The sequence below is a fragment of the Homo sapiens genome, chromosome 11 (assembly GCF_000001405.40).
Source record: "Homo sapiens chromosome 11, GRCh38.p14 Primary Assembly".
Classification (NCBI taxonomy): Eukaryota; Metazoa; Chordata; class Mammalia; order Primates; family Hominidae; genus Homo; species Homo sapiens.
The window spans coordinates 61,423,481-61,447,845 of NC_000011.10; the positions used below are offsets into that span (position 1 = coordinate 61,423,481).

General features: G+C 44.9%; 2 protein-coding genes and 1 pseudogene across 25 annotated transcripts in view, besides 7 other annotated features; 2 read left to right on the top strand and 1 right to left on the bottom strand.

The window, feature by feature from the left end:
• CPSF7 (cleavage and polyadenylation specific factor 7) overlaps positions 1–6,495 on the bottom strand; it is a 27,247-nt gene extending 20,752 nt beyond the window's left edge. For 12 of the 24 annotated variants that reach the window (NR_165418.1, NR_165416.1, NR_165414.1 and 9 more), the window contains exons 1-2: positions 6,434–6,495; positions 5,702–5,810 (exon numbers count right to left, since the gene is read on the bottom strand). Coding sequence is in view for 16 of the 24 variants with exons in the window: in XM_047427623.1 (XP_047283579.1) it covers positions 5,702–5,755 (54 nt within the window). In the remaining 8 variants the exon portion in view is untranslated. Of the gene's footprint in view, positions 1–5,701; positions 5,811–6,276 lie in introns of all 24 variants that reach the window. The other 12 variants (XM_017018345.2, XM_005274298.5, XM_011545257.3 and 9 more) reach the window with 3 other exon arrangements.
• Positions 5,710–6,358: an enhancer, noted in NCBI's record as "NANOG-H3K27ac-H3K4me1 hESC enhancer chr11:61196662-61197310 (GRCh37/hg19 assembly coordinates)". NCBI's record gives its function as "activates a minimal SCP1, AML or CMV promoter by ChIP-STARR-seq in primed H9 embryonic stem cells {active_cell/tissue: H9 hESC(primed)}" and the evidence as "EXISTENCE:reporter gene assay evidence [ECO:0000049][PMID:30033119]".
• Positions 5,865–6,294: a silencer, noted in NCBI's record as "silent region_3392". NCBI's record gives its function as "represses an Ori minimal core promoter by ATAC-STARR-seq in GM12878 lymphoblastoid cells {active_cell/tissue: GM12878}" and the evidence as "EXISTENCE:reporter gene assay evidence [ECO:0000049][PMID:35858748]".
• Positions 6,405–6,574: a silencer, noted in NCBI's record as "silent region_3393". NCBI's record gives its function as "represses an Ori minimal core promoter by ATAC-STARR-seq in GM12878 lymphoblastoid cells {active_cell/tissue: GM12878}" and the evidence as "EXISTENCE:reporter gene assay evidence [ECO:0000049][PMID:35858748]".
• Positions 6,405–6,774: a biological region, named in NCBI's record as "ReSE screen-validated silencer GRCh37_chr11:61197385-61197720".
• Positions 6,433–6,768: a silencer, noted in NCBI's record as "fragment chr11:61197385-61197720 (GRCh37/hg19 assembly coordinates)". NCBI's record gives its function as "represses an EF-1alpha promoter that drives an FKBP-Casp9 reporter gene in an ReSE screen in phorbol 12-myristate 13-acetate-treated (for megakaryocytic differentiation) K562 erythroleukemia cells {active_cell/tissue: K562(+PMA)}" and the evidence as "EXISTENCE:reporter gene assay evidence [ECO:0000049][PMID:32094911]".
• SDHAF2 (succinate dehydrogenase complex assembly factor 2) lies at positions 6,644–23,253 on the top strand. The gene is made up of 4 exons (NM_017841.4): positions 6,644–6,702; positions 14,145–14,368; positions 14,524–14,633; positions 22,461–23,253. Exons 1-4 carry the CDS (start codon positions 6,667–6,669, stop codon positions 22,589–22,591), a joined length of 501 nt encoding a protein of 166 aa, NP_060311.1. The 5' UTR covers positions 6,644–6,666; the 3' UTR covers positions 22,592–23,253.
• Positions 6,715–6,774: an enhancer, noted in NCBI's record as "active region_4798". NCBI's record gives its function as "activates an Ori minimal core promoter by ATAC-STARR-seq in GM12878 lymphoblastoid cells {active_cell/tissue: GM12878}" and the evidence as "EXISTENCE:reporter gene assay evidence [ECO:0000049][PMID:35858748]".
• RN7SL23P (RNA, 7SL, cytoplasmic 23, pseudogene) lies at positions 20,669–20,943 on the top strand (annotated as a pseudogene).
• Positions 22,862–23,609: an enhancer, noted in NCBI's record as "H3K27ac hESC enhancer chr11:61213814-61214561 (GRCh37/hg19 assembly coordinates)". NCBI's record gives its function as "activates a minimal SCP1, AML or CMV promoter by ChIP-STARR-seq in primed H9 embryonic stem cells {active_cell/tissue: H9 hESC(primed)}" and the evidence as "EXISTENCE:reporter gene assay evidence [ECO:0000049][PMID:30033119]".

Genomic DNA, 24,365 nt, shown 5'->3' on the forward strand with positions numbered 1-24,365 from the left:
CTTTTTAAGGATTAGACAAGCATTTTATTTTTATTACAAGAATTAGACAAAACATTCAAACAATGCTAAAGATAATGCTGCCAAAATGACAGAGACAGCAAGTAGTTCAGTGTTTTAAGGATGCTACGGCAGTTTCATATTGCTATTCTTTTAAAAAGGGAATAAAGGAGGCACCTAAGTTGGGAAACTTGTCTAGTACCCTGAAGAAACAGTTTCTCCAAGGCAACTAAAGACAGGCGGCTCCCTTAACTTTCTCCCTCCAATATCACGGCAATAACTGCTAATTCTGAAGTGATCTGAAGACGACTCACTAAAAAATTTACTCTTAGACCAGTCCTTGTATTATAAGAACCTTTGGAAACAATCTTTCAGTTTTTCAGTTTATCTGAAGTACAGTGGAAGAAAATGCACACTAAGAGAATAATCTTGGGTTGTTCTGATAGAGAAGGGGGAAGGATTCTACTTCCTAAAGCATATAAATAATTTCAAATATTAAAACACTCTAAGAAACCCACCAGGAGGGCTTAACCCTTGTAAAAACGTTAGAAAAAGAATATCAAGAGACAGTAAACTTTTAGGGGGCAACTTAACAACAAGAAATTAGTGAGGCAAATAAGCACAGGAAGCTTGTTCCATGTAGTCAAATCCATCAAAAAGGATTGTGCATAAAAAGGGTCAGCATGTAAAGAATGAGGAGAGAAGCTAACACTGGAGAGGACAGGGTGGATAATAAAGTAAGGTGAGGTCAGCTAGGGCTAATGAGTGGGAAAACATTTTGTGTGTAAGTAATCACTATAAAATATTTCATAGCTGTTACGTCTCAAACTATCCCAACTCTATAGACAAATCACTCTTCTATTCATGTACCAGGTATGGTGAGTTGCTCCTGTGGTTCAAGGTAGAGAAAGGATTTATATACATCACTTGATCCCATCCAATGCTCAAATCCTTAGAAAGCACTACTTCACACCAAGATTCTTCTTTTTTTCTGAGATAGAGTCTCACTTTGTCACCCAGGTTGAAGTGCAGTGGCGCAATCTTGGCTCACTGCAACCTCCGCCTCCTGGGTTCAAGTGATTCTCCTGCCTCAGCCTCCCGAGCAGCTGGAATTACAGGTGTGCACCACCACACCCAGCTAATTTTTGTATTTTTAGTAGAGATGGGGTTTCACCATGTTGGCCAGGCTGGTCTCTAACTCCGGACCTCAGGTGATCCTCCCACCTCAGCCTCTCAAAGTGCTGGGATTACAGGCGTAAGCCACTGCACCCAGCCTTCTTTTTTTTTAAATCAAGGATTTTCAAATGACACGTAAACAGAATAAGGAAACACATCATCTTGGATAATCGAATGGAACCAAACTGAGATTCCCTTCCATGCAGTATCTGTAATTCAGGTATATGTGTCTAAAATTTGTAATGTAAAAATGATCACTGAAAATTGAGTAGTGGACTAACATGCAGATTTGGACAGCTCAGAGACCAAATGCATCACCAGGAAACCCTTCGTACTATATGCTTAGGCAACCAATCCACTGTTTTAAGATCCCTTAAGAATAGGATAGACTAGATCCTGGAGAATCTTGGTATGGCTACCACTTTTAGAAACAAAAGGATTGAATGAATACAAAATTATCACAAGATTTAAATGGTCTCTCTGGGCCACAGAGCCTCAGTTCAAAGAAGCTGGTGGGAACTGCACAGGGCAGGTCTGTTGAGGGTTCTACTGAAGAAACAAGGTATCAAATTGTTTGGATTTTAATCCCCCAGCATCACAATTCATTTTACTTGTTCAGCTAGTAAGACAGAAACACAGTTAAGGGCCGGAGATTTTTCTCAGCGGATTTATGCAGTAATAGATTAAAGTAAAATCAAATTCTACAAATTAAGTGAAAAGTACATTTTACATGCACTGATGTTCAAAGTTTCATTCCAGGGAGATTAAACATGAAACATATATTTAATACTGAATAACTATCTCAAAGAATTTTGTGTTTAATGGCACAGAAAGAACTGTGACTGTCTCATGAAACTTCCTGCTTCCCTGTAAACAAAAGAGAACATGTGTGATTTTCAATTTAAATAAGATCTTCTCCACTTGTCTGCTCAGTGTTCCTAACCTCCACCCTCTTCTTCCTCATATCCCACTGAGGGAAGTAACTAGCCTAGGATTTATTTTTCTCAGAGCAACCAACTTGATACCATTGTTTCTTTTAATTGTAACCAAGGCTTAATCAAAAATTTTGGCTTTATAATGACCATTTCCACAGTTCCCACTTCACACCCTCCTTGTCCTTCACTGTACATTGTCGTTGTCCACCACCCCTACCCACCAGGAGTGGAATCTGTTTTGAGTACAGGGACCCACTTTTTTTTCCTTTTACCTCACTAGTCCTGGCACAGTGCTTAGCAAACACAAGTAGCTCAATAAATAAATACTTATTGATGGACATAAGGAAGAGAACTGGACACTGTGCAAAGCCTGTCTCAGTATGAAAAGCCAAAACTCCCAGCAGAGCAACTGATCTCAGTCACCTTTCCAGAGTTCTCCCTGGCCCAAGAGAGCCAATGTGAATCCCAGGACTCCCTGTGTTACAGGAATAAAGTAGCTCTGGCAAAAACAGGCTTTTGCAGCAAATGCTCTAAGAGATCAGGGAATAAGCACCATAGGGTTCCATCTAGGAAAAATATTAATTTTCCTTGAGGAGCAAAGTGCACATGAAGGGCTTCCTGTGCATGGGCCAGCTTGGGGCGAAATCAGTAACATTCTTAAAACATTCTAAAACACAATTTGTACTGGGTGCCTTCAGACTAAGCCAGCTTCTAACAATTCTAGCCAAAGTTTTTTTGTTTTTTTGTTTTTTAAATAATTTCTGTAGCTTCCAGATGACACTAACACTAACTTTGTCAAAAATAACTAATTGATATGTGTGTGGGGGGGAAGCACTCATCCCTCACCTTCCACAAAACATAAGATATTCAAAATTCACACTTTCTTCAGCTTGCCTAGTGTCAAATATTGCCCGTTGGATATATGTATCTATTAAAGTCCACATACTACCTTTAGCCTGTCTTAGACCCATAAAAAAGTCCTTTTTAACTGAGGAGACCAGAGAACAAACTATTGAGGCCAATAACTTATACTCTAACAAAGCAGTGACCACTGGACAATGAGTTCTGCGTATTTCTCAAAGTGAAATGAATGGCACTATTATCAATCCACAGATAAGAAATTAGAAGGGGAAAAGCTTTTCATTAATAACAAAGGTGGCTGGGTACGGCGGCTCACGCCTGTAATCCCAGCACTTTGGGAGGCCGAGGTGGGCAGATCACAAGGTCAAGAGATTGAGACCATCCTGGCCAACATGGTGAAACCCCGTCTCTACTAAAAATACAAAAATTAGCTGGGCATGGCGGTGCGCGCGCCTGTAGTCCCATCTACTCAGGAGGCTGAGGCAGGAGAATCATTTGAACCTGGGAAAAGGAGGTTGCAGCGAGCCAAGATGGTGCCACTGCTCTCCAGCCTGGCGACAAAGAGAGACTCTGTCTCAAAAAAAAAAAAAAAAAAAAAAAAAAGAGAAGAACTAAGGACCGCTCTTGTTATCTTGGTGGGGGAAAAACATAATCTGCAAAAAGTCTGAACTGGGCAGAGTGGCTCACACCTATAATCCCAACAGTTTGGGAGGCTGAAGTGGGAGAATCGCTTGAGCTCAGGAGTTGAGAGACCAGCCTAGGCAACACAGCAAGACTGTGTGTTTTTTTTTTTAAGGTATTAAAAGTCTGATTCAAATGAATATGGAAAACTCAGGAAAACAATGATTTTGTAACTAAATTAACATCTAGAACTTTTCTCTTTTATCCATAATTATTGGACTTATTTAAAACTAAAAAATTTTTTCGCCATGCACGGTGGCTCACGCCTGTAATCCCAACTTTGGGAGGCTAAGGCGGGCGGATCACAAGGTCAGGCATTCGAGACCAACCTGGCCAACATGGTGAAACCCCGTCTCTACTAAAATTACAAAAATTAGCCAGGTGAGGTGACCCACGCCTGTAGTCCCAGCTACTCAGGAGGCTGAGGCAGGAGAATCACTTTAACCTGGGAGGCAGAGGTTGCAGTGAGCCGAGATCGCGCCACTGCACTCCAGCCTGGGTGACAGAGAGAGACTCTGTCTCAAGAAAAAAAAAAAAAAAAAAGGAAAATTCATCTATTTAAGATAATCAGCAGCTATATTTAAAGGACCACAGTTAACCACAACAGAGACAAGAAACCTGCCATTAAAAAGTATAATTGGTGAAGCTGTATAATGGGTACAAGGTCATTACATTATTCTGCTTTTGTGTATGGTTTATAATTTCCATGTTATAAAACCATAATACATCAAAAAATAGATTTTCATGTAAACTTATGCCAAGTGAAAAATAAATGGCATGTATCCGCCTCTTCTGTTGCCTCATATCAAAGTCAGGGTCAAACCAGGGAACTTTCCCTTTCTAACCCATTCAATACATGCTCTTACCAGGTCCTTATGTGTACCCACTGGAAGATGCAAATGGGAAGAGCCAGCTTACTTACATAGAATGGTGCTGAAAATAACCCAGGCAAGATATTAGTACGTTTTCAATAGAAATTTTGGAACATTCTTGAGAATTGACCTCAAGACTGAAAAACTTAACTGCATGGAAGATTATTTCTTTGAGAGAATTTTTCTTGTGTTTTTAAGAGTCAGGGTCTTGTTCTGTTGCCCAGGATAGAGTGCAGCGGCCCAATCATGGCTCACTGCAGCCTTGAATTCCTGGGCTCAGGGAGTACCTCTTGCCTCACTCTCCAGAGTAGATGGGACTACAGGCACAAGCCACCATATCTCGTTGTTGTTTTTTTTTACATTTTTGTAGACTGGGTCTTGGTATGTTGCCCTGGCTGGTATTGAACTTCTGGTCTTAAGTAATCTTCCCATCTCAGGCTCCAGAGCAGCTGAGATTACAGTCAAGAGCCACCTTGCCCAGCTCTAGATAAATTTCTGTATAATGTTCCCTGGTACAATAAAAACAAATCCAACTGAGGGTATGTGCATGGGTCTATTATCAGTTTTCTAACTGGTTTGTCTAACGTCTTTACTCTTTTATTCCCTCTAGAAAGACTAAAGGTAACCAATACAATTTATTATACCAAAATGCCTGTGGACTTCTCATGACTGGAGTCAACCTACTTATAAAAGGAAGTAAAACTTAATTGGAATGGAGTTGAAACTAAATGTTAAAGTCATCTTTTCTACTTTGCTTTTGCACTGTCACGATGGAGGGGACTACACTTCTCCAGCTGCAGGTTGAGAATGTAAAGGAACCGGTATCAACACTGTCCTCATGAATACCGTAGCAAATGTACTTTTGATTTTTAAGTGTGGTTAGTCTGACACCCACCTTTGGCTTCCTGGGGAGTAAATTCCACAGGTTGATTCACCATTCTATTACACCTGCTTTTTATTTGCTCTTAAATCAAAGCCTTTAAAATTAAGCCTGGAGCTTCAAATTAACATAAAGAGGAATGGAGTGTAGTCTTTAAAGTTTCTGCAGGAGAAAAATTTTAGACCGGATAGACGCGTGTTCAAGCCTAGGACTGGTACAGCTTGAAACCACTGCCAGTTTGCTGAAAATGATTCCTCAGATGATCAAGGAAAATCCCAAAGCTCCTGATGACACCTCACCTGGTTGAACTCCTCGTCAGCATATATATCAATCAAGTCCACTCCTTCTGACATGGCTCCGGAAGGAAGATCGCGAGTCCGGAGGATGGACAAAGTAAGGAAGATGCCACTGCGGGATTCGGAAAAATGCAAGAATTAGAAGGCACGAGGGTCCTGGGCTGGGAAGAGGGTAATGATTGCTAACCTCCCATCTCCAGAGACGCAGCATCCTGGCGGCCCCAGCTCGGCCCCACCCGCTCCGCCCCGCCCCCGGCCTCGCGCCGCCCACCGCTCTCCCAGGCCGCCGGGGGTCGCTGCCCATCACCCTCGGGCCCGACCCGGGTAGCGCCGCGTCTGCGCCGCAGCTGCCTATGGCGCGACGGAAAAGTCCCACCCTCGGGTCCTAGTGGCCCTAGGACGGCGTTGCGAAGAATGACCGCGGCGAAGCCCGCAGCCCCTATCCGCTGCACCTGCCTAGCCCCCAAGGCGGCTCCGGCCAGAGCCCCCAGGTGTCAAGCAGCTCCAGCCGCCTCTGCCCCCAACCCAGGCCTACTCTTCGCCCCCAGCTAGGCCCGCCCCGCTCCCTCCCGACAAACCCGGCCCGGCGCGCTCTGCCTCCTCCCTCAAAAGGCCCGCGACTCCCTCCGCCCGCAGACTCCGGCCGTCCCATCTCAACCGACCCCCTTCCCGCCTCAGTGCCGGCCCGGACCCCTCTTCCGGCCCAACCTGCCCCCGACCGCGCGCCCCCGTTACCGGGAATATGGCGGCGGCGGCGGCGAGTCCGGACTAGGCCCGAAGCGCGCGAACCGCTCTCCGCCCCAGGTCCCGCCCCCCCCGCCGCCGGCGTCACACGCACCGCCACTTCCGGCATGCGCAGGGACGCACCTTCCGGCTCAGCTCCTCCGTGGCTGCCGTGGTCGGCTGGCCGGGCGGCTAGGAGTTCCCGGAAGTGCCCGCGCAGCCGGTTTCCGGTGCAGGTGGGGAAAATGGCGGTGTCTACAGTGTTCTCGACTTCGTCGCTGGTGAGGAGAGAGAACGTTCTAGCGTCCGGGGCGGGCGGCAGCGGGGATTACCCTTTGTCTTCCTCTGTGGTCTCTATCTTGGGGAGAGTTCGTCTGCCCGATAGCGCAGGGCAAGGGCAGGCCCAGGGAGAGGCCGATCCTGCAACTCAGGAAATAAAGGTCGCTTCCATTCTTTGGTGAGCCTACTGTGTGCCGGTCTGGAAATATCTGCTTAAACGATCAGTCATCGTCCAAGACCCAATTCGCCTCTCACCTACGTCCCAGGCGGGATTAGCCCAACTTCCCTGGGCTCCCCTTCTCCCCGTTCTTTAGTCTTTAATGCTTTTCGTGGTTTCACATAGTATCTTCAGCTTTTTGTTTGTTTATAATTGACATATAATTGTACGTGTTTATGGGGGTACAGTATAATGTTTTAATACATGTGTACATCGAATAATCAAATCAGCGTAGTTAGCATGTCCATCACCTCAAATCTTTATCATTTATTTACGGTAATAACTTTTCAAGATCTTTTTCTAGCATCTTGACATATACAGTACAGTGTTATTAGCTGTAGTCACTCTAATATGTAATAGAACACTGGAACTTATTATTCTTTTTTCCTAGCCTGCTGTTATAAAGTAACTAACTTTGCCTCTATCTTCCCCTCCTACCCCCATCCCTATCTTTATTCTTTTTTTTTTTTCCTGCAGACCCAGGGACTCGATCTTTATTCTTTTTTGATGTAGGCGTTTACACTATAAACTTCCTTCTTAGTACAGCTTTTGTCGCATCTCATAATTTTGTATATGTTGGGTTTTAGTTTGTCTCAGGATATTTCCTTTTTGTTTGTTTTTTGTTGTTTTCCTTTTTTTTTTTTGAGACGGAGTTTTGCTCTTGTCGCCCAGGCTGGAGTGCAATGGCACGAACTTGGCTCACTGCAACCTCCACCTACCGGGTTCAAGCGATTCTTCCGCCTCAGCCTCCCAGGTAGCTGGGATTACAGGCATCGCCATCATGCCTGGCTAATTTTTGTATTTTTGTAGAGATGGGGTTTCACCTTGTTGGCCAGGCAGGTCTCGAACTCCAGACTTAAGGTGATCCGTCCTTCTCGGCCTCCCAAAGTGCTGAGATTACAGGCGTGAGCCACCGCGCCCGGCCTGTTGTTTCCCTTCTTTTTTCTTTTTTTCGTAGAGACAGGTTCTCACTATGTTGCCCAGGCTGGTCTCAAACTCCTGGCCTCAAGTGATCCTCCTGCCTCAGCTTTCCAAAAAGTGCTGGGATTACTGGTGTGATCCACCATTCCCGGCGTGTCTCAAGATATTTTCTAATTTTCCTTTTGATGTCTTCTTTGACTCATTGATTGTTCAAGAGTGTGTTGTTTAATTTCCACATATTTGTGAATTTTCCACCTTTTCTTTTGCCATTGATTTCCAGATTTTAATAAAATGTCTCTTGTGCGGCATATAGTTGAATCTTTTTTTTAATTCATTATATTCAGCCACTTCATGTCTTTTGGTTGGGGAGGTTATGTTATGTTATGTTATTTTCTTGAGACAGAGTCTCGCTCTGTCGCCCAGGTTGGAGTGCAGTGGCATGATCTCGACTCACTGCAAGCTCCACCTCCTGGGTTCACGCCAATCTCCTGGTTTAGGAGTAGCTGGGACTACAGGCGCCCCCCACCACGCCTGGCTAATTTTTTGTATTTTTAGTAGAGACGAGATTTCACCGTGTTAGCCAGGATGGTCTCGATCTCCTGACCTCGTGATCTGCCCGCCTCAGCCTCCCAAAGTGCTGGGATTACAGGCGTGAGCCACCGCGCCAGGCCTGGAGTTTAATCCATTTATACCTAAAGTAAATAGTGGCCGAGGTGGGTGGATCGTGTGAGTCCTGGAGTTCGAGACCAGCCTGGGCAACATGGCAAAACCCCTTTTCTACTAAAAAAAATTAGTCAGGTGTGGTAGTACACACCTGTAGTCCCAGCTACTTGAGAGGCTGAGGCGGGAGTGCGTCTGAGAAGTCAAGGCTGCGGTGAGCCTTGATTTTGCAACAGCACTCCAGCCTGGGCATTGGAAGTGAGACCTTGTCTCAAAAAATAAATAAAATAGGGAAGTACAATCATCCCTTTGTATCCATGGGATGACTGTTGTAGGATCCGCTGTGGATATCAAACTCTGCAGAAGCTCAGTCTCTTATATAAAATGGCATAGTATTTGCATATAATCTACACACATACTTCCATATCCTTTAAATTATTTCTAGATTACTTATAATACCGAAAACAATGTCAAGGCTATGTATATGCTTGTTATACTATATCTTAGTTGTTTTTTAATTGTTGTATTATTTATTTCTTTTGAATATTTTTGATCCACAGTTGGTTGAGTGTGCAGTTGGTTGAATTTACAGGTGTGGAACCCACAGATACGGAGGGCCAACTGTGCTTGCTGTTGCCGTTTTGTAAACTGTTCTCTGTCTTACAACCTTTTTGCTCCTCTTTTCCACTCTTGTCATCCTTTATATTTCGTTGACTTTTTTTTTTTTGTAGTGACATACTTTGAGAAACGAATTTCTCATTTCCTTGTGTGTCTTACACAGGTATTTCTTTGTGGTTACCATGTGGCTTATATAAAACATAACAATCTGTTTTGATAACTTAATTTCCATTGCATACAAAAACTCTGCTCTTTTATGACCCCCTTGTATGTTGTGGATGTCACAAATTACATCTTTTTATATTGTCTCCATTAACAAATTTTTATAGTTGTTTTTATACCTTTGTCTTTAATTTCTATACCAAAATTAAAAGTGACTTACATACCACAGTTACAGTATTATAGTATTCTGTACTTGTCTCTCTCTATATATTTTTTTAATTTAATTTTTTTTTTTTTTTGAGACGGAGTCTCGCTCTGTTGCCAGGCTGGAGTGCAGTGGCGCGATCTTGGCTCACTGCAACCTCCATCTCCTGGGTTCAAGCGATTATCCTGCCTCAGCCTCCCGGGTAGCTGAGACTACAGGCGCCCGCCACCATGCCTGGCTAATGTTTTGTATTTTTAGTAGAGATGGGGTTTCACTGTGTTAGCCAGGATGGTCTCCATCTCCTGACCTCGTGATCCGCGCACCTCAGCCTCCCAAAGTGTTGGGATTACAGGCGTGAGCCACCGCACCCGGCCTCCAGTGATAATTTAACACAACTCATACCAGTATCACACAATTCCCTGGAACTATGTGACAACCATTATTGTTTCTTTTATGGAATGCTGCCTTGATACTAACAGAAAAAAATGGGTGAAATTTGGCTAAAATAATAAGACATCCCAATTATTAGAACAATTTCCTTGTACTGATGAGGATAGTCCTCCCCATCCGCATTCATTTCTGTAGAAATTACTCAATCATGTTATTTTAGTATAGAAAGTAGGAATCCCTGCCTTCAGTCTGCATCAGAATCTCTTAGAGGGTTGTTAAAAATTCATTCGTCAGGGCCCAGTCCTAGAGATTCTCATCCAGAATGTTTATGGTGGGGCTTGGGAATCTGAATTTTCATCGCATGCTGTATTAGTTTACTAGGGCTGCTATAACCTGTGTGGTTTGAAGAACAGAAATTAATTTTCTCATAGTCCTGGAGGCTAGAAGTCCAAGAGCAAGGTGTTGGCAGGTTTGGTTTCTTTCGAGGCCTCACTCCTTGCCTTGCAGATGGCCACCTTTTCACTGTGTCCTCACATTTCTCTGTGCATGCACATCCTTGGTGTCTCTTTTGTGACTTTTTAAAGACATAGGATCTTGCTTTGTTGCTCAGGTTGTACTTTAACTCTTGGGTTCAAGCAATCCTCCCACCTCGGCCTCCCAGGTAGCTGGGACTATAGGGTCATGCCACTGCACCCAGCTTTTTCTGACTTTTGACAGTTTGATTAAAATACGTCGCAGTATGGACTTCTTTGGGTTCATGTTAATTGAGATCTGTTAGGCTTGAATCTGGATGTCCACTTCTTTCCCCAACTTTGGGGGTTTTTAGCCATTATGTCTTTTTTTTTGAGATGGAGTCTCACTCTATCACTGAGACGAGTGCGATGGCACAATCTCAGCTCACTGCAACCTCTGCCTCCTGGGTTCAAGCAATTCTCCTGCCTCAGACTCCCCAGTAGCTGGGATTACAGGCACGCGCCACCATGCTTGGCTACTTTTTGTACTTTTAGTAGAGACGGTTTCGCCATGTTGGCCAGGCTGGTCTTGAACTCCTTACCTCAGGTGATCCGTTCACCTCAGCCTCCCAAAGTGCTGGGATTACAGGCATTAGCCACTGAGACCAGCCAATTATGTCTTCTAATAAGCTTTCTGCCCCTGTCTTTCTCTTATACGACTCTCATAATGTGTATATTGATCTCCTTGATGGAGTCCCTAAGGCTTTCTTCACTCCTTCTCATTCCTTTTTTTTTTTTTTTTTTTAGAAAAAACCCTGACTAATTTCAAATGACCAGTCTTTGAGTTTGCTGACTCTTTCTGCTGCTTGATCAGGTCTACTATTGATTTTCTCTAGTGAATTTTTTAATTTATTTTAATTTTTTAATTTTTTTTTTTTTTTTGAGACGGAGTCTCGCTCTGTTGCCCAGGCTGGAGTGCAGTGGCACGATCTCAGCTCACTGCAAGCTCCGCCACCTGGGTTCACGCCATTCTTCTGCCTCAGGCCTCCCAGGTAGCTGGGACTACAGGCGCCCGCCACTATGCCCGGCTAATGTTTTGTATTTTTAGTAGAGACGGGGTTTCACCATTGTTAGCCAGGGTGGTCTTGATCTCCTGACCTCTTGATCCACTCGCCTTGGCCTCCCAAAGTGCTGGGATTACAGGCATGAGCCACCACGCCGGGCCTAATTTTTTAATTTTTATGTATTTTTATTTTTTAGAGACGGGGTCTCACTGTGTTGCCCAGGCTGGTTCTCGAACTCCTGAGCTCAAGCGATCCTCCAGCCTCAGCCTCCCAAAGTGCTAAGATTATAGACATGAGCCACCGTGCCTGGCCTCCTCTAGTGAATTTTTCAATTCAGTTACTGTATTCTTCAGCTCCAAAATTTTCATTTGGTTATTTTTTAATGTTTTCTGTCTTTTTTTTGGTTTTCTCATTTTGTTCAAGCTCAATGTTCAAGTTCTCAATGTTCCAAAGCTCATTGAACATCTTTATTATGGCTAGTTTGAATTCTTTATAGGTGATTCATATACTTCTGTTTCTTTAAGGTTAGTTTCTGGAGATGTATTTCGTTCCTTTAATAGGACCATGTTTTCCTCTTTATTCATGTGCTTGGTAACTTGTACTGGTGATTTCTACATTTGAAAAATCATCTGTCTCTCCTGGTCTTTGTACTGGTGATTGGCCTTCACTAGTCAGCATGGATAGAGATTCCAAGGGCCTCTCAATCCTTTACTGAGGATGTGTCTTTTCTGGACTTGCGGATGTAAATTCCCATTTAGAGGGATTTGCCGGTTTCCTTTTTCAGGAGCCCATAATCTCTTGCTCCCTCTAGTGTCTGCGTATGATACTGCAGTTTCTCTGGAGCTGCTACAAGTCTCCCAGCTGTCGGTGGCCTCCAGACTTTTAGAGTATGCCATGTCCCATCAGTGCCCCAAGCTGGGCAAGACAGAAACCAGTCCCTCTGGTAGCTTCCCCAAAGGACAGAATGTTACGACTGGGTGTGGTGGCTCACGCCTGTAATCCCAGCACTTTGGGAGGCCAAGGTAGGCAGATCACCTGAGGTCGGGAGTTCGAGACCAGCCTGACCAACATAGAGAAACCCTGTCTCTACTAAAAATACAAAATCAGACGGGCGTGGTGGGGCATGCCTGTAATCCCAGCTACTCGGGAGGCTGAAGCAGGAGAATTGCTTGATCCTGGGAGGCGGAGGTTGTGGTGAGCCGAGATCGCGCCATTGCACTCTAGCCTGGGCAACAAGAGCGAAACTCCGTCTCAAAAAAAAAAAAAGTCAGAATATTAGATGCACACTCCACTCCCCTCAACCCTGGGAGAGGCCACTGGGCTGTATTGGCCTTTCTCTGCAGTTTCAGGGATCCTCTGGATCAGCAGCAGGCCACCCAGGCATTTAGAGTGTGCTAGATCCTTTCAAGTGCTTAGAGACAGAAACCAGTCCCCCAGAGAGCCCCAAAAAGCTAGAATGTTGGATGCATACTGCACCTGTTTCCCTCCCTAGGGAGAAGCTGGGAGGTGGGAGTTTTCTCCTGCTTGTTCTGCACTGAGCCAAGGATGAGTGATGAGGGAGTGAGTGCTTGCCAGTCTAAACTGTCACCTTTGTTCTCCATGGTTCTTTGTTCTCCCTCAACCTGCTGCCCTTTTCTGTTAGCACTTAGATTCAAACAAAACAGAAACCTGATCCCCCCAAAAGTCCGAACATTATACATACTTTTCAGTCTTCTCTTTCTGTCTCAGGTAGAAGCTAGGAGCTGGGGGTTATCTCATGATCATGCTTGAGCAGGGAGGGAAGAGACTATGGCAAATGAGTGCTACAAATTTTTCTGCTGGATTCGATGCAGCTGGTTTTGTGCTCACCTGGGGAGCAGGAGCCTCTTACTGGTTTCTGGATTTCTCACAGGGAATTGGTTTGTTTGTTGCTGTTGGCTCAGTGTCTCCATCGGGGAAGGAGGATCTGGGGTTTCCTACTCCACCATCTTCACCTCTTGCTGAGGTCACCACCTTGACATCATATCTTGATAAGTTGTCAACTTCTCTGGATTGGGAGCCTTTGGGGGATTAGGGATCATGCTGTCTCTGTGTGCTCAGGATTTGACACAGGTGAGTGAGTAGAGTATAAACCACACTGTAAGAATTTTAAGGGAGTGCAAAGGAAGGAAAAATTATTTCTGCTGGGATAGTTTCTGGAAAGGCACTGGTTAGGGACACATTTGCAGTTAGGACTGTGTTTTAATTCTAATTGCAGTTACTATTTGGATGATTTTGGGTGAGTTATTGAACCTTCCTGAGCCTCTGTTTCCTTGGCTATAAAGTGGGGACAATATCAGCATAATTTCTTTTCTTTTTTCAGGGGGATAGGGTCCGTTGCCCAGGCTGGAATGCAGTGGTACGATCACAGCTCACTGCAGCGTTGACCTTCCCAGGCTCAGATGATCTTCCCACTTCAGCCTCCTGAGTAGCTGGGACCACAGGCACCATGGTGGGACTACCCCACTATGCCTGGCTAATTTTTGTATTTTTGGTAGAGACAGGGTCTCGCTATGTTGCTCAGGCTGGTCTCGAACTCCTGAACTCAAGTAATCATGCTCGCGTTGACCTCCCAAAGTGCTGGGATTACAGGTGTGCGCCACCACGCCTGGCCAGCAGTGTAATTTCCTCATGACTAAATGTGATTGAATGCATTCAGCACCTAGTAAGCATTGAGTAAATGATAGCGATGATAGTCGTCATTATTGTAAAGATGTTTGTGGTTTGTTCATTTCAGATGCTTGCTCTGTCAAGGCACAGCCTATTGTCTCCTTTGCTCAGTGTGACATCATTCAGACGCTTCTACAGAGGTGACAGCCCAACAGATTCCCAAAAGGACATGATTGAAATCCCTTTGCCTCCATGGCAGGAGAGAACTGATGAATCCATAGAAACCAAAAGAGCCCGCCTGCTCTATGAGAGCAGAAAGAGGGGAATGTTGGAAAACTGCATTCTTCTTAGGTATGGGACTAGGAGTCTTTTTTTTTAAATCGGGCAGCTTCCTGAGCCAGAGTAGGTTCAGAGAGACTCCCAGGAGTAGGAGTCTTGGTGTCACTTCTCTTTTATTAGACACAGCCTTCTCAACCTCTTTTTCTTTTTTTCTTTCTTGTTTTTAGTCTTTTTGCTAAAGAACATCTGCAGCACATGACAGAAAAGCAGCTGAACCTCTATGACCGCCTGATTAACGAGCCTAGTAATGACTGGGATATTTACTACTGGGCCACAGGTACTGGGTATGATAAGCAGCATAATGTGAAAATAGGACAGTTTAGGCTGATTTGAGTCTAGAATTGTATCCTAGATAATTTTTTTCTTTCTTTTTTTTTTTTGAGACTGAGTTTCACTCTCGTTGCCCAGGCTGGAGTGCAATGGCATGATCTCGGCTCACTGCAACCTCTACCTTCCAGGTTCAAGCGATTCTCCAGCCTCAGCCTCCTGAGTACCTGGGATTACAGGCATGTGTCACCACACCCGGGTAATTTTATATTTTTAATAGAGACAGGGTTTCTCTGTGTTGGTCAGGCTAGTCTCGAACTCCTGACCTCAGGTGATCCGCCCGCCTCGGCCTCCCAAAATCCTGGGATTACAGGCATGAGCCACTGTGCCTGGCTTATAATTTTTTTCTTTTATTCATGAAGTAGACACTCAACCCAAACACTGTTCAAATTTTTGTTAAGTGTACAAAATTTATCAGTTAAAGTTCTTTATTTGCGAGACAGAGTGGAAACTTGTTTGTCTCACTTAAGCAAAAAGGAATTTAGTGGAAGGGTATATGAAGCTCACAGTATCAAAGGTTGAAGAAGAACCACTCTGGGAATGGAGTGGAATCAGACAACTAAGTCTGCATAGCCAAAGCTCCTCAATAGTTTCATTCTGGCCGGCCGCAGTGGCTCATGCCTCTAATCTGAGCACTTTGGGAGGCTGAGGCGGATGGATCGCTTGAGGTTAGGAGCTTGAGAGCAGCCTGGCCAACACAGCGAAACCTCATCTCTCCAAAAATTCAAAAATTAGCCGAACATGGTGGCGGACAACTGCAGTCTCAGCTACTTGGGAGGCTGAGGCAAGAGAATCGCTTGAGCCTGGGAGACAGAGATTGCAGTGAGCTGAGATTGCACCACTGCACTCCATCCTGGGCAAAAGAGTGAGACTATGTCTCAAAAAAAAAAAAGTTTCATTCAGGCACTACCTTTATGAGGAATGAATTCTAACTGTGTATAGTTAGGATTAACTTTGGCTATGAGTAAAAAAACATCCAAAACAGTAATGGCTTAAACAAGGTAGAACTGTCTTTCTCATGACAGAAGTCCAGAGGAAGGCACACTCCAGAGCTCATAGAGGGGCTTCAAAAAGTCATGGGTCCAGGTCCCCCCTACTTGCTGCTCTTTCATCCTAGCATGTGTTTTCTACTTCTTGATCCAGGACAGCCATATTTCAGCCCGGAAAAAGTGTGTGGAAGTGCATACCCCTCCTTTGTAGATCCCGCTCAGGAAATTATCCAGCATACTTCCACTTATTTGCCATTGGCCACAGCTTAGTTACTTGGCTACGTCTAACCATAAGGAAAAATAATATAGTCTATTCCATCTGCCCAGCTGTGTTGGAGATTCTGTTATCGATGAAAACTGGATATTAGGGGACGTGTCATTCATTCTGCCACACTCCGGGACTGCTGTTTTTGTGTCTCCACTCAATATTTGTATCAGAAAGTAGCAGCCATTGTCTATGGGTTCCAGGTATGAAGAGTGATAAGACAGAGTCTGGAGCCTTATACAATCACTGGAAAGCCAACAAAGTCCAAATATTTACTCTCCAACCCTTTACAGAACAAGTTTGCCCTGACTTAGCATAATGCATTTGAGATGCGTATCCTTGTTGTTACTTGTATCAATAGTTCATTCTTTTGTGTTGAGTAATATTCCATTGTGTGGATGTACCATGGTCTGTTCATCTTTTGACCAGCTGAGGGACATTAGGATTATTTCCAGCTTTAGGTGATTATAAATGAAGCCACTGTAAACATTTGCATACAGATTTTGTGAACATAGGTTTTAGTTTTTCTTGAGTGAATACTCAGGAGAAGGATTTGCTGGGTCATGTGGTAAGTGTATATGTTTAACTTTATAATAGGGCCAGGTGTGGTAGCTCATGCCTGTAATTTCAGCATGAGATCACATGCTCCTCCTCTGGGAAGCCGAGGCAGGTGGATCACTTGAGGCCAGGAGTTCGAGACCAGCCTGGCCAGCATGACAATACCCCGTCTCTACTAAAAATGCAAAAGTTAGCCGCGTGTGGTGGTGCGCCCAGCTACTCTGGAGGCTGAGGCAAGAGAATCTCTTGAATCCGGGAGGCAGAGGTTGCAGTGAGCCAAGATCACGCCACTGTGCTCCAACCTGGGCGACAGAGTGAGACTCTTTCAAAAAAATAAATAGGGCTGGGCGCGGTGAGTCAACACCTGTAATCCCAGCACTTTGGGAGGTCGAGGCGGGTGGATCACCTGAGGCCAGGAGATCGAGACCTTCCTGGCTAACACGGTGAAACCCCGTTTCTACTAAAACGACAAAAAATTAGCTGGGTGTGGTGGCGGGTTCCTGTAGTCCCAGCTACTCGGGAGGCTGAGTCAGGAGAATCGCTTAAACCTGGGAGGTGGAGGTTGCAGTGAGCCAAGATTGGGCCACTGCACTCCAGCCTGGGTGACAGAATGAGACTCTGTCTCAAAAATAAATAAATAAAACTTTTAGTACATTTTTTCTGTAATAGGTAAATATAGATAGTAAGCTTTTTCTATAATAGGTAAATATAGATAGTAAATACAGATAATGAATATTTTAGGCTTTGCAGGCCATACAGCCTCTCATAACTACTCACCTCGACCTTTGTAGCATGAAAGCAGCCACAGATAGCAGGTAAACGAATATGATTGTGTTTCAATAAAACCTTATTTGTGGACACTGAAAATAGAATTTCATACTGTTTTCACCAGTTATGAAATATACATTTGATTTTTTTTCCCCAACCATTAAAAAATCATTCTTGGCTGGATGCAGTGGCTCACACCTATAATTCCAGCGCTTTGGAAGGCTGAGGCAAAGGATCTCTTGAGGCCAGGAGTTTGGGACCAGCCTGGGCAACATAGACCCCCTATCTCCAAAAATAAAAATAAGTTAGCTGGGCTTGGTGGTGCACACTGTATTCCCAGCTACTTGGGAGGATCACTTGAGCCCAGGAGTTCAGAGACTGCAATGACCTATGATCACGCCACTGCATTTCAGCCTGGGCAAGAGTGAGACCCAATCTCTAAAAATCATTCTTAGCTCACAGGGCATAGTTTGCCAGCTTCTGTGCTAAGCAAAAGAGGTCAAACTCAACCAGACGCGGTGGCTCACGCCTGTAATCCCAGCACTTTGGTAGGCTGAGGTGGGCGGATCACGAGGTCAGGAGATTGAGACCATCTTGGCCAACATGGTGAAACCCCGTCTCTACTAAAAATACTGGGCGTGGTGGTGGGCGCCTGTAATCTCAGCTACTTGGGAGGCTGGGGCAGGAGAATCTCTTAAACCAGGGAGTCGGAGGTTGCAGTAAGCCGAGATCATGCCACTATACTCCAGCCTGGGTGACAGAGCGAGGCTCCATCTCAAAAAAAAAAAAAAAAAGATCAGACTCAACAAGTACATACTCAGTACATAATTGGACTCCAAGAATGTGATTCTGTTTACATGATAATCTGAAAAAGGCAAAACTTACAGGGACAAATCAGTGATTGCCAGGGTGTTGGATGTGAAGGGAGGGGTTGGTGTTCCACATCTTTACCCACACTTTGTATTATCAGGGTTTTGTTTTTGTTTTTAGCCATTCCAAGAAGTATATATTGGTACATCACTATAGTTTTAATTGGCATGTCCCTAATGACTAATAATATTGAGGATCTTTTCAAGGGCTTATCAGCCCTTTATGTATATTTGGTGACATGTCTCTTCAAATTCCGCCCCCCACCACTCCTCCCTTTTTTTTTTTTTTGAGACAGGATCTCACTCTGTCACCCAGGCTGGAGTGCAGTGGTGCAGTCATGGCTCAGTGCAGGCTCCACCTCCTGGGCTCAAGCGATCCTCCCACCTCAGCCTCCAGAATAGCTGGGACTACAGGCCGGCAGCACCATGCCCAGCTAATTTTTGTTGTTGTTGTATTTTTTGTGGAGATGAGGTTTTGCCATGTTGCCCAGACTGGTCTCAAACTCCTGAGCTCAAGCAATCCACCTGCCTCGGCCTCCCAAAGTGCTGGGATTACAGGTGTGAGCCACCATGCCTGGCCAGATTTTCCATTTTGGAAGATACTTTCACTGGATATAGAATTCGAGGGTCACAATGTTTTTTCTTCTGTTAAATAGAAACACTTCTACCGCCAGCTCTTAGTGTACAAGATCGGGTAGTCAGGAGTTCCGCTGGGTTTGGACTTTGGTTTTGCTCTGGTTACCTTCAGTGCATCACCAGCTTCATATTCCCTCCGGTGTTACCATGTGCTGTTTTCTCATTTCCATAGTTTGTGACGAGGTCTGCTGTATCTTTGTTCCTTTTTATGTGTCTTCTCTTTCTGAATCTTTTCAATATTTTGTCTTTGGTTTCTAGCCGTTTCAATATTATATACATAGGTATTTATTTGATATTTATATATGTAGGCATTTGATATTTATCGTGCTTTTGGGTTCTCTGGGCATCTTGGATCTGTGTTTTCATATCTTTTATTATTGTTGAAAAATTCTCAGCTGTTACCCCTTCAGCTATTTCTTCTGCTTTGTTTTCTCCCTCTTTTCCTTCTAGGATTCTAGTTATACTTAGTTAAATGGTTTAATATTGTCCAACAGCTGTTGTGGGGGTTTTGTTTTTTGTTTTTTTGAGACAGTCTTGCTGTGTCACCAAGGCTGGAGAGCAGTGGCGCAATCTTGGCTCACTACAACCTCTGCCTCCTGGGTCCAAGCGATTCTTGTGCCTCAGGCTCCTGAGCAACTGGGACCACAGGCACGTGCCGCCATGCCTGGCTAATTTTTTTGTATTTTTCACAGAGACGGGTTTCACCATGTTGGCCAGGCTGGGCTTGAACTCCTGGCCTCAAGTGATCCGTCTGCCTCAGTCCCTTAAAGTGTTGGGATTACAGGCGTGAGCCACTGTGCTCAGTCTGTCCAACAGCTTTTGGGTTCTCTGTTTTGTGTTTTTTATTCTTTTTTCTCTTTGTGCATCAGTTTGGGTTATTTGTATTAGATAATATCTATTGACCTGTCTTCCACTAATTCTTTCCTTGATGATGTCAAATCTCATGATGGGCCTGTTGAAACCATTCTGCATATCTGCTACTGTATTTGTTTTTAGCATTTCCATTTGACTTTTGGAGTTTCCAACTCTGCTAGAATTTCTCATCTGTTCATACATTTTGTCTGCTTTTTCCACTGGCGCCTTTAATATTAGTCATAGTCATTTTAAATTCCCTGTCTGATAGTTCTAACATCTGGGTCATCCCTCAGTCTGCTTCTGTTGATTTCTTTGTCCCTTGACAGTGTGTTGTTTTTTTCTTCTTTTGTGTATATGTCTCGTAATTTTCTCATAATTGTATTTATGCTTACAATTGGGGATGCTTCTTCTACTTTACTGTTAGTGTGGGGATCAAGTCAGTGAGTTGGGAGGTAAGCTCAGCTTGGGTTGTTTTTGCTTTGGTTACCTTCATTGCATTACTAGTGTCTAGCGTTAACGTGTGCTTAGAGTGGAAGCTGGCTCTGTCGCCCAGGCTGGAGTGCAGTGGCACCCTCTCGGCTCACTGCAACCTCCACCTCCCAGGTTCAAGCGATTCTCCTGCCTCAGCCTCCTGAGTAGCTGAGACTACAATCACGTGCCACCACACCTGGCTAATTTTTTTTTTTTTTGAGACGGAGTCTCACTCTGTCACCCAGACTGGAGGCAGTGGCGCGATATCGGCTCACTGCAAGCTCTGCCTCTTGGGTTCATGCCATTCTGCTGCCTCAGCATCCCGAGTAGCTGGGACTACAGGCGCCCGCCACCACGCCCGGCTAATTTTTTGTATTTTCAGTAGAGACGGGGTTTCACCGTTTTAGCCAGGATGGTCTTGATCTCCTGACCTCGTGATCCACCCGCCTCGGCCTCCCAAAGTGCTGGGATTACAGGCGTGAGCCACTGTGCCCAGCCTGTGTCTGTGGTTTTATACACTCATGCTAGCCCACACTTGGCTTTTAACAATTCATTGCAAATTTTAGTGGCACAGGCCTGCAGTCCCAGCTGCCCTGGAGGCTGAGGCAGCAGGATCGCTGGAGCCCAGGAATTCTTGGCTGCAGTGCTCTATACCAATCAGGTGTCTGCTGTAAAGTTGGCAACAGTATGTTGACCTCTCAGAAGCAGGGGACCACCCGATTCCCTAAGGAGGGGTGAACCAGCCCACGCTGGAAATGGGACAGGTCGAAATTCCTGTGCTGATCAGTGGTGGAATTGCACCTCTGACTAGCCACTGCAGTCTCCCCTGGGCAACATAAGGCTGGCCCTGTCTGTATTAATTTAAAACAAATTTTTTTGGCTGGGCGTGGTGGCTCACGCCTGTGATCCCAGCACTTTGGGAGGCAGAGGTGGGCGGATCACAAGGTCAGGAGACCAAGACCAGCCTGACTAACACAGTGAAACCCCATCTCTACTAAAAAAAAAAAAATTACAAAAAATCAGCCGAGCGTGGTGGCGGGCGCCTGTGGTGCCAGCTACTCGGGAGGCTGAGGCGGGAGAATGGCGTGAGCCCAGGAGGTGGAGCTTGCAGTGAGTCCAGATCGCACCACTGCACTCCAGCCTGGGCGACAGAGTGAGACTCGTCTCAAACAAAAAAAAAAATTTTTTTAGCTGAATTCCTTTTACCCATTTGTATGATGTCCAGTGTCTCTTCTTCCTGTGCCTGCCACAGGTGAGCAAGTGCATGGCTCTCGTTTCTCCTTTGAAGGGCCTCTTTTTCCTTAGGTTTCGTCTGTTGGGTTGCCTCGTGACCTCAGTTCTCTGATATCTTTGAGAAAAGTCATAATATTTGTAATTTATCTGGCTTTTTCTTGTTGTTACAGTGAGTGCAATATTCTTTCCAACTTTCTACTTTCTTGGGGGAAGCCAAAACCTCTTTGATCTTATGTTGATTGTCACATGAAAACAGAGCCCTCACTAGATGCCAGGCCCTGTGCTGAGTAAGGGAGAATCTGACTTGGTTTTGAGGAATTCTCTCTCCTGGCGTCGTACCTAGTGTTGGTGGAAGGGTAATTCTGGAGCACATTGCCTCGGCTTTGGCAGTGGGAGGCTTTGCTTGTAATTGGCATCTTAAATAAGTGTCCCAAGGGTGTAGAGAAAGGTCAGGGGGAGCAGCACACTGCCAGACCCACTGCCGTAGACTGAGGCTGGCCTTCTCATTCTTCTGACTCAGTGCCTATGTTGCCCGTTCACTGAAATCTGGTTCTTTAGGCTCATGACAGTTCTGTGTGCCTCCAATATCCTTCCAATAAATTCCTTTTTGCTTAAGTTTACTAGAGTTATTAGTTTCTGTCTCTTAAAACTGAGGACCTCTAACTGATAGACAAAGGAGAGAGCTTTTGTTTCAAGAGATATATACATTGCAAGGGAAAACACAATGTCTGGGGAACAATGGAATTGCCAAATGCAAAGCAAAATAGTACAGCCAAGATTGTGCGGGCCAGGGGTCAGCAAACTTGTTCATAAAGGACCAGATAGTAAGTATTTTACTTGTAGTCATATGGTCTCTGTTGCAAGTACCCAATTCTGCTGTCATAACACAAAAGGAGCATGGGTAATATGTAAACCATTGGGAGCAGCTGTTCCAATAAAACGACTTGCAAATATAGGCTCACACAGTTTGCCACCCCCTGGTATAGGCTAACATCGTGTATATTTAGAAGAAGGATGGAGACAGTCTATATATCCATCTGTGGTTCTTGGCCAGTGTTTCGAGTTTTAAGATTCTCATACCTGAGCATTGACTGACTATGGCATAATTTTTTCTGCCCACTCTTCTCTTGCAGAAGCTAAACCAGCCCCAGAAATATTTGAAAATGAAGTCATGGCCCTGCTGAGAGACTTTGCTAAAAACAAAAACAAAGAGCAGAGACTGCGTGCCCCAGATCTTGAGTACCTCTTTGAAAAGCCACGTTGAGCTGTGCTCCACGGCCTGGCATGGGGGTTCAGTCTGTGGATGGTAACTACTTATGATGGACGTTAGCCTTGCTTCCGGCTTCTTAGATGCCCAGCTGCCCTACCCCAGACCACTGGTCCTGCCTCAAGTGATGGACATAACCCTCTCCTAGGACATACATGTAAATGCACAATGTGACTCATTCTCATACTTTTTTGTTCAGCTCTGAGCCTCAAAAGTGATTTGTCAGCAGCGCTGGCATGCAGGCTTTGCCTGGCTGCTATCTCTAGAGGCAAGTCTGCCACGAGAGGGCACTGCAGGCGAAGCAGTTGTGCTTGCTCATTGCCTCAGCCCAAGTGTACTCAAAGAAAAGAGGCAGCCAGCTGTGCGTGCTGTATGGAAAGCCTCCCGCCCTCCCTGCAGCTCCCCGCCCTCAGTGGCCCAGGGCTTTGTTGAAGTGGAACTCCCCACTTCCAACCTGGTATGGCTCCTTCTGCGAAGGGAAGCTGATCCCAGCCTCCTGAGCTGAATCCTTCAAAGGCACAGCAGGCAGAATGAGGGCCACAGGCAGGAGTGGTGTGGGCACACTGCTTAGGAGTCAACATCTTCATCATTGGGCTTTCTTTAAAACGTGCACTTTGTAATTTGAAAGAGAATTATTAAAGCATACTGAAAAAAGGAAATTTACAATTTCCCAGCCCTCACAATTAATTTTAATTTTGTCTATTTTCATATAACCCATAGTCATGTTTATAGAGTTTTACAAGTTCACAATTACAGGTTTTATTTTCATGTAGCACTATAGAAAACTTTCCCCCTCATTCCTACAGTCTTCACAATTAGTTGACTAAATAATAATACATAAGAAATAATATATTAGAATGAATTAGTTAGAAGTGTTTTTAAAAGCTCTAGGGCTGTGTGACTTCTGTGTTGCTAGTGGTGCCCTCCCTGGAGGGGTTTTGCCCTCAGAGCTGTAATCTAGGCAGTAGAATCAGTCACCCAGACTGGACCAGGTGCATCTAAAGGTGTTGACTAGAAGAAGGTCGGCCAGATTTGATGAGCAGGTGGTTGGTGATTATAGGAGCCGCACACAGGGACTACACACGCACATGTTTCCAGCATTGTTGAGCTCCAGGGTTCCTACAGAGCCACCTCATGGTTCCTGCCTGCTCTTCAGTATCCCTGGTGGCTCAGGAGGGAAGGGAAGAGATCTAGCCTTTACGTAATCACAGTTAAGCCTCACAGCACTCTAGACTAGTGGTGTTACCTGTATTTTATACATAAGAAAGTGGGCTCAGAGAGAGGAAGTAATTTGTCCAAGGTCAGGTAGCTATTGAGTCGAAAAAGCAGAATTTAGTATAGCTCAGTCTGCCTCCAAAGCTCTTGAACTTTCTACTAGAACACACTGCCTTACTGCTGGAAATTTAATAGAAGTCTCTGTTTGGGAAAGCTGTGGCAAATAGATGTGACAGTTCTGAGACATGACCTCTGTGTTACATGGTGGGTAGGAATCTGCCAGGTGCTTCGCCAAGTGAGTAGATCTGAACTTGATCACCCAGTGAAGCTTCTGTGAGGAAGCAGCGCAGTGCACTGGTTACACATTTAAATCCTGGCTCTGCTGCTTACCTGCTGGATACATGAATTGACCTGAGCCTCAGTTGCCTCATCTATAAAATGGGGATGACAATGCTTCCTGTCTCAGCTAGTTGATGAGATGAAACACACAAAGCTCTTACATGGTAACTTGCACAGTATGTACTCTAGATATGAATGTCAGCATTTAGTCATAGCC

Excerpts from the sequence above, each read along its gene's own strand:
- SDHAF2 (NM_017841.4), top strand. The coding sequence starts at position 6,667 with ATGGCGGTGTCTACAGTGTTCTCGACTTCGTCGCTG. Across the intron at positions 6,703-14,144 it reads TGTTCTCGACTTCGTCGCTG|ATGCTTGCTCTGTCAAGGCA; the intron begins GTGAGGAGAGAG and ends TGTTCATTTCAG. Across the intron at positions 14,369-14,523 it reads GAAAACTGCATTCTTCTTAG|TCTTTTTGCTAAAGAACATC; the intron begins GTATGGGACTAG and ends TCTTGTTTTTAG.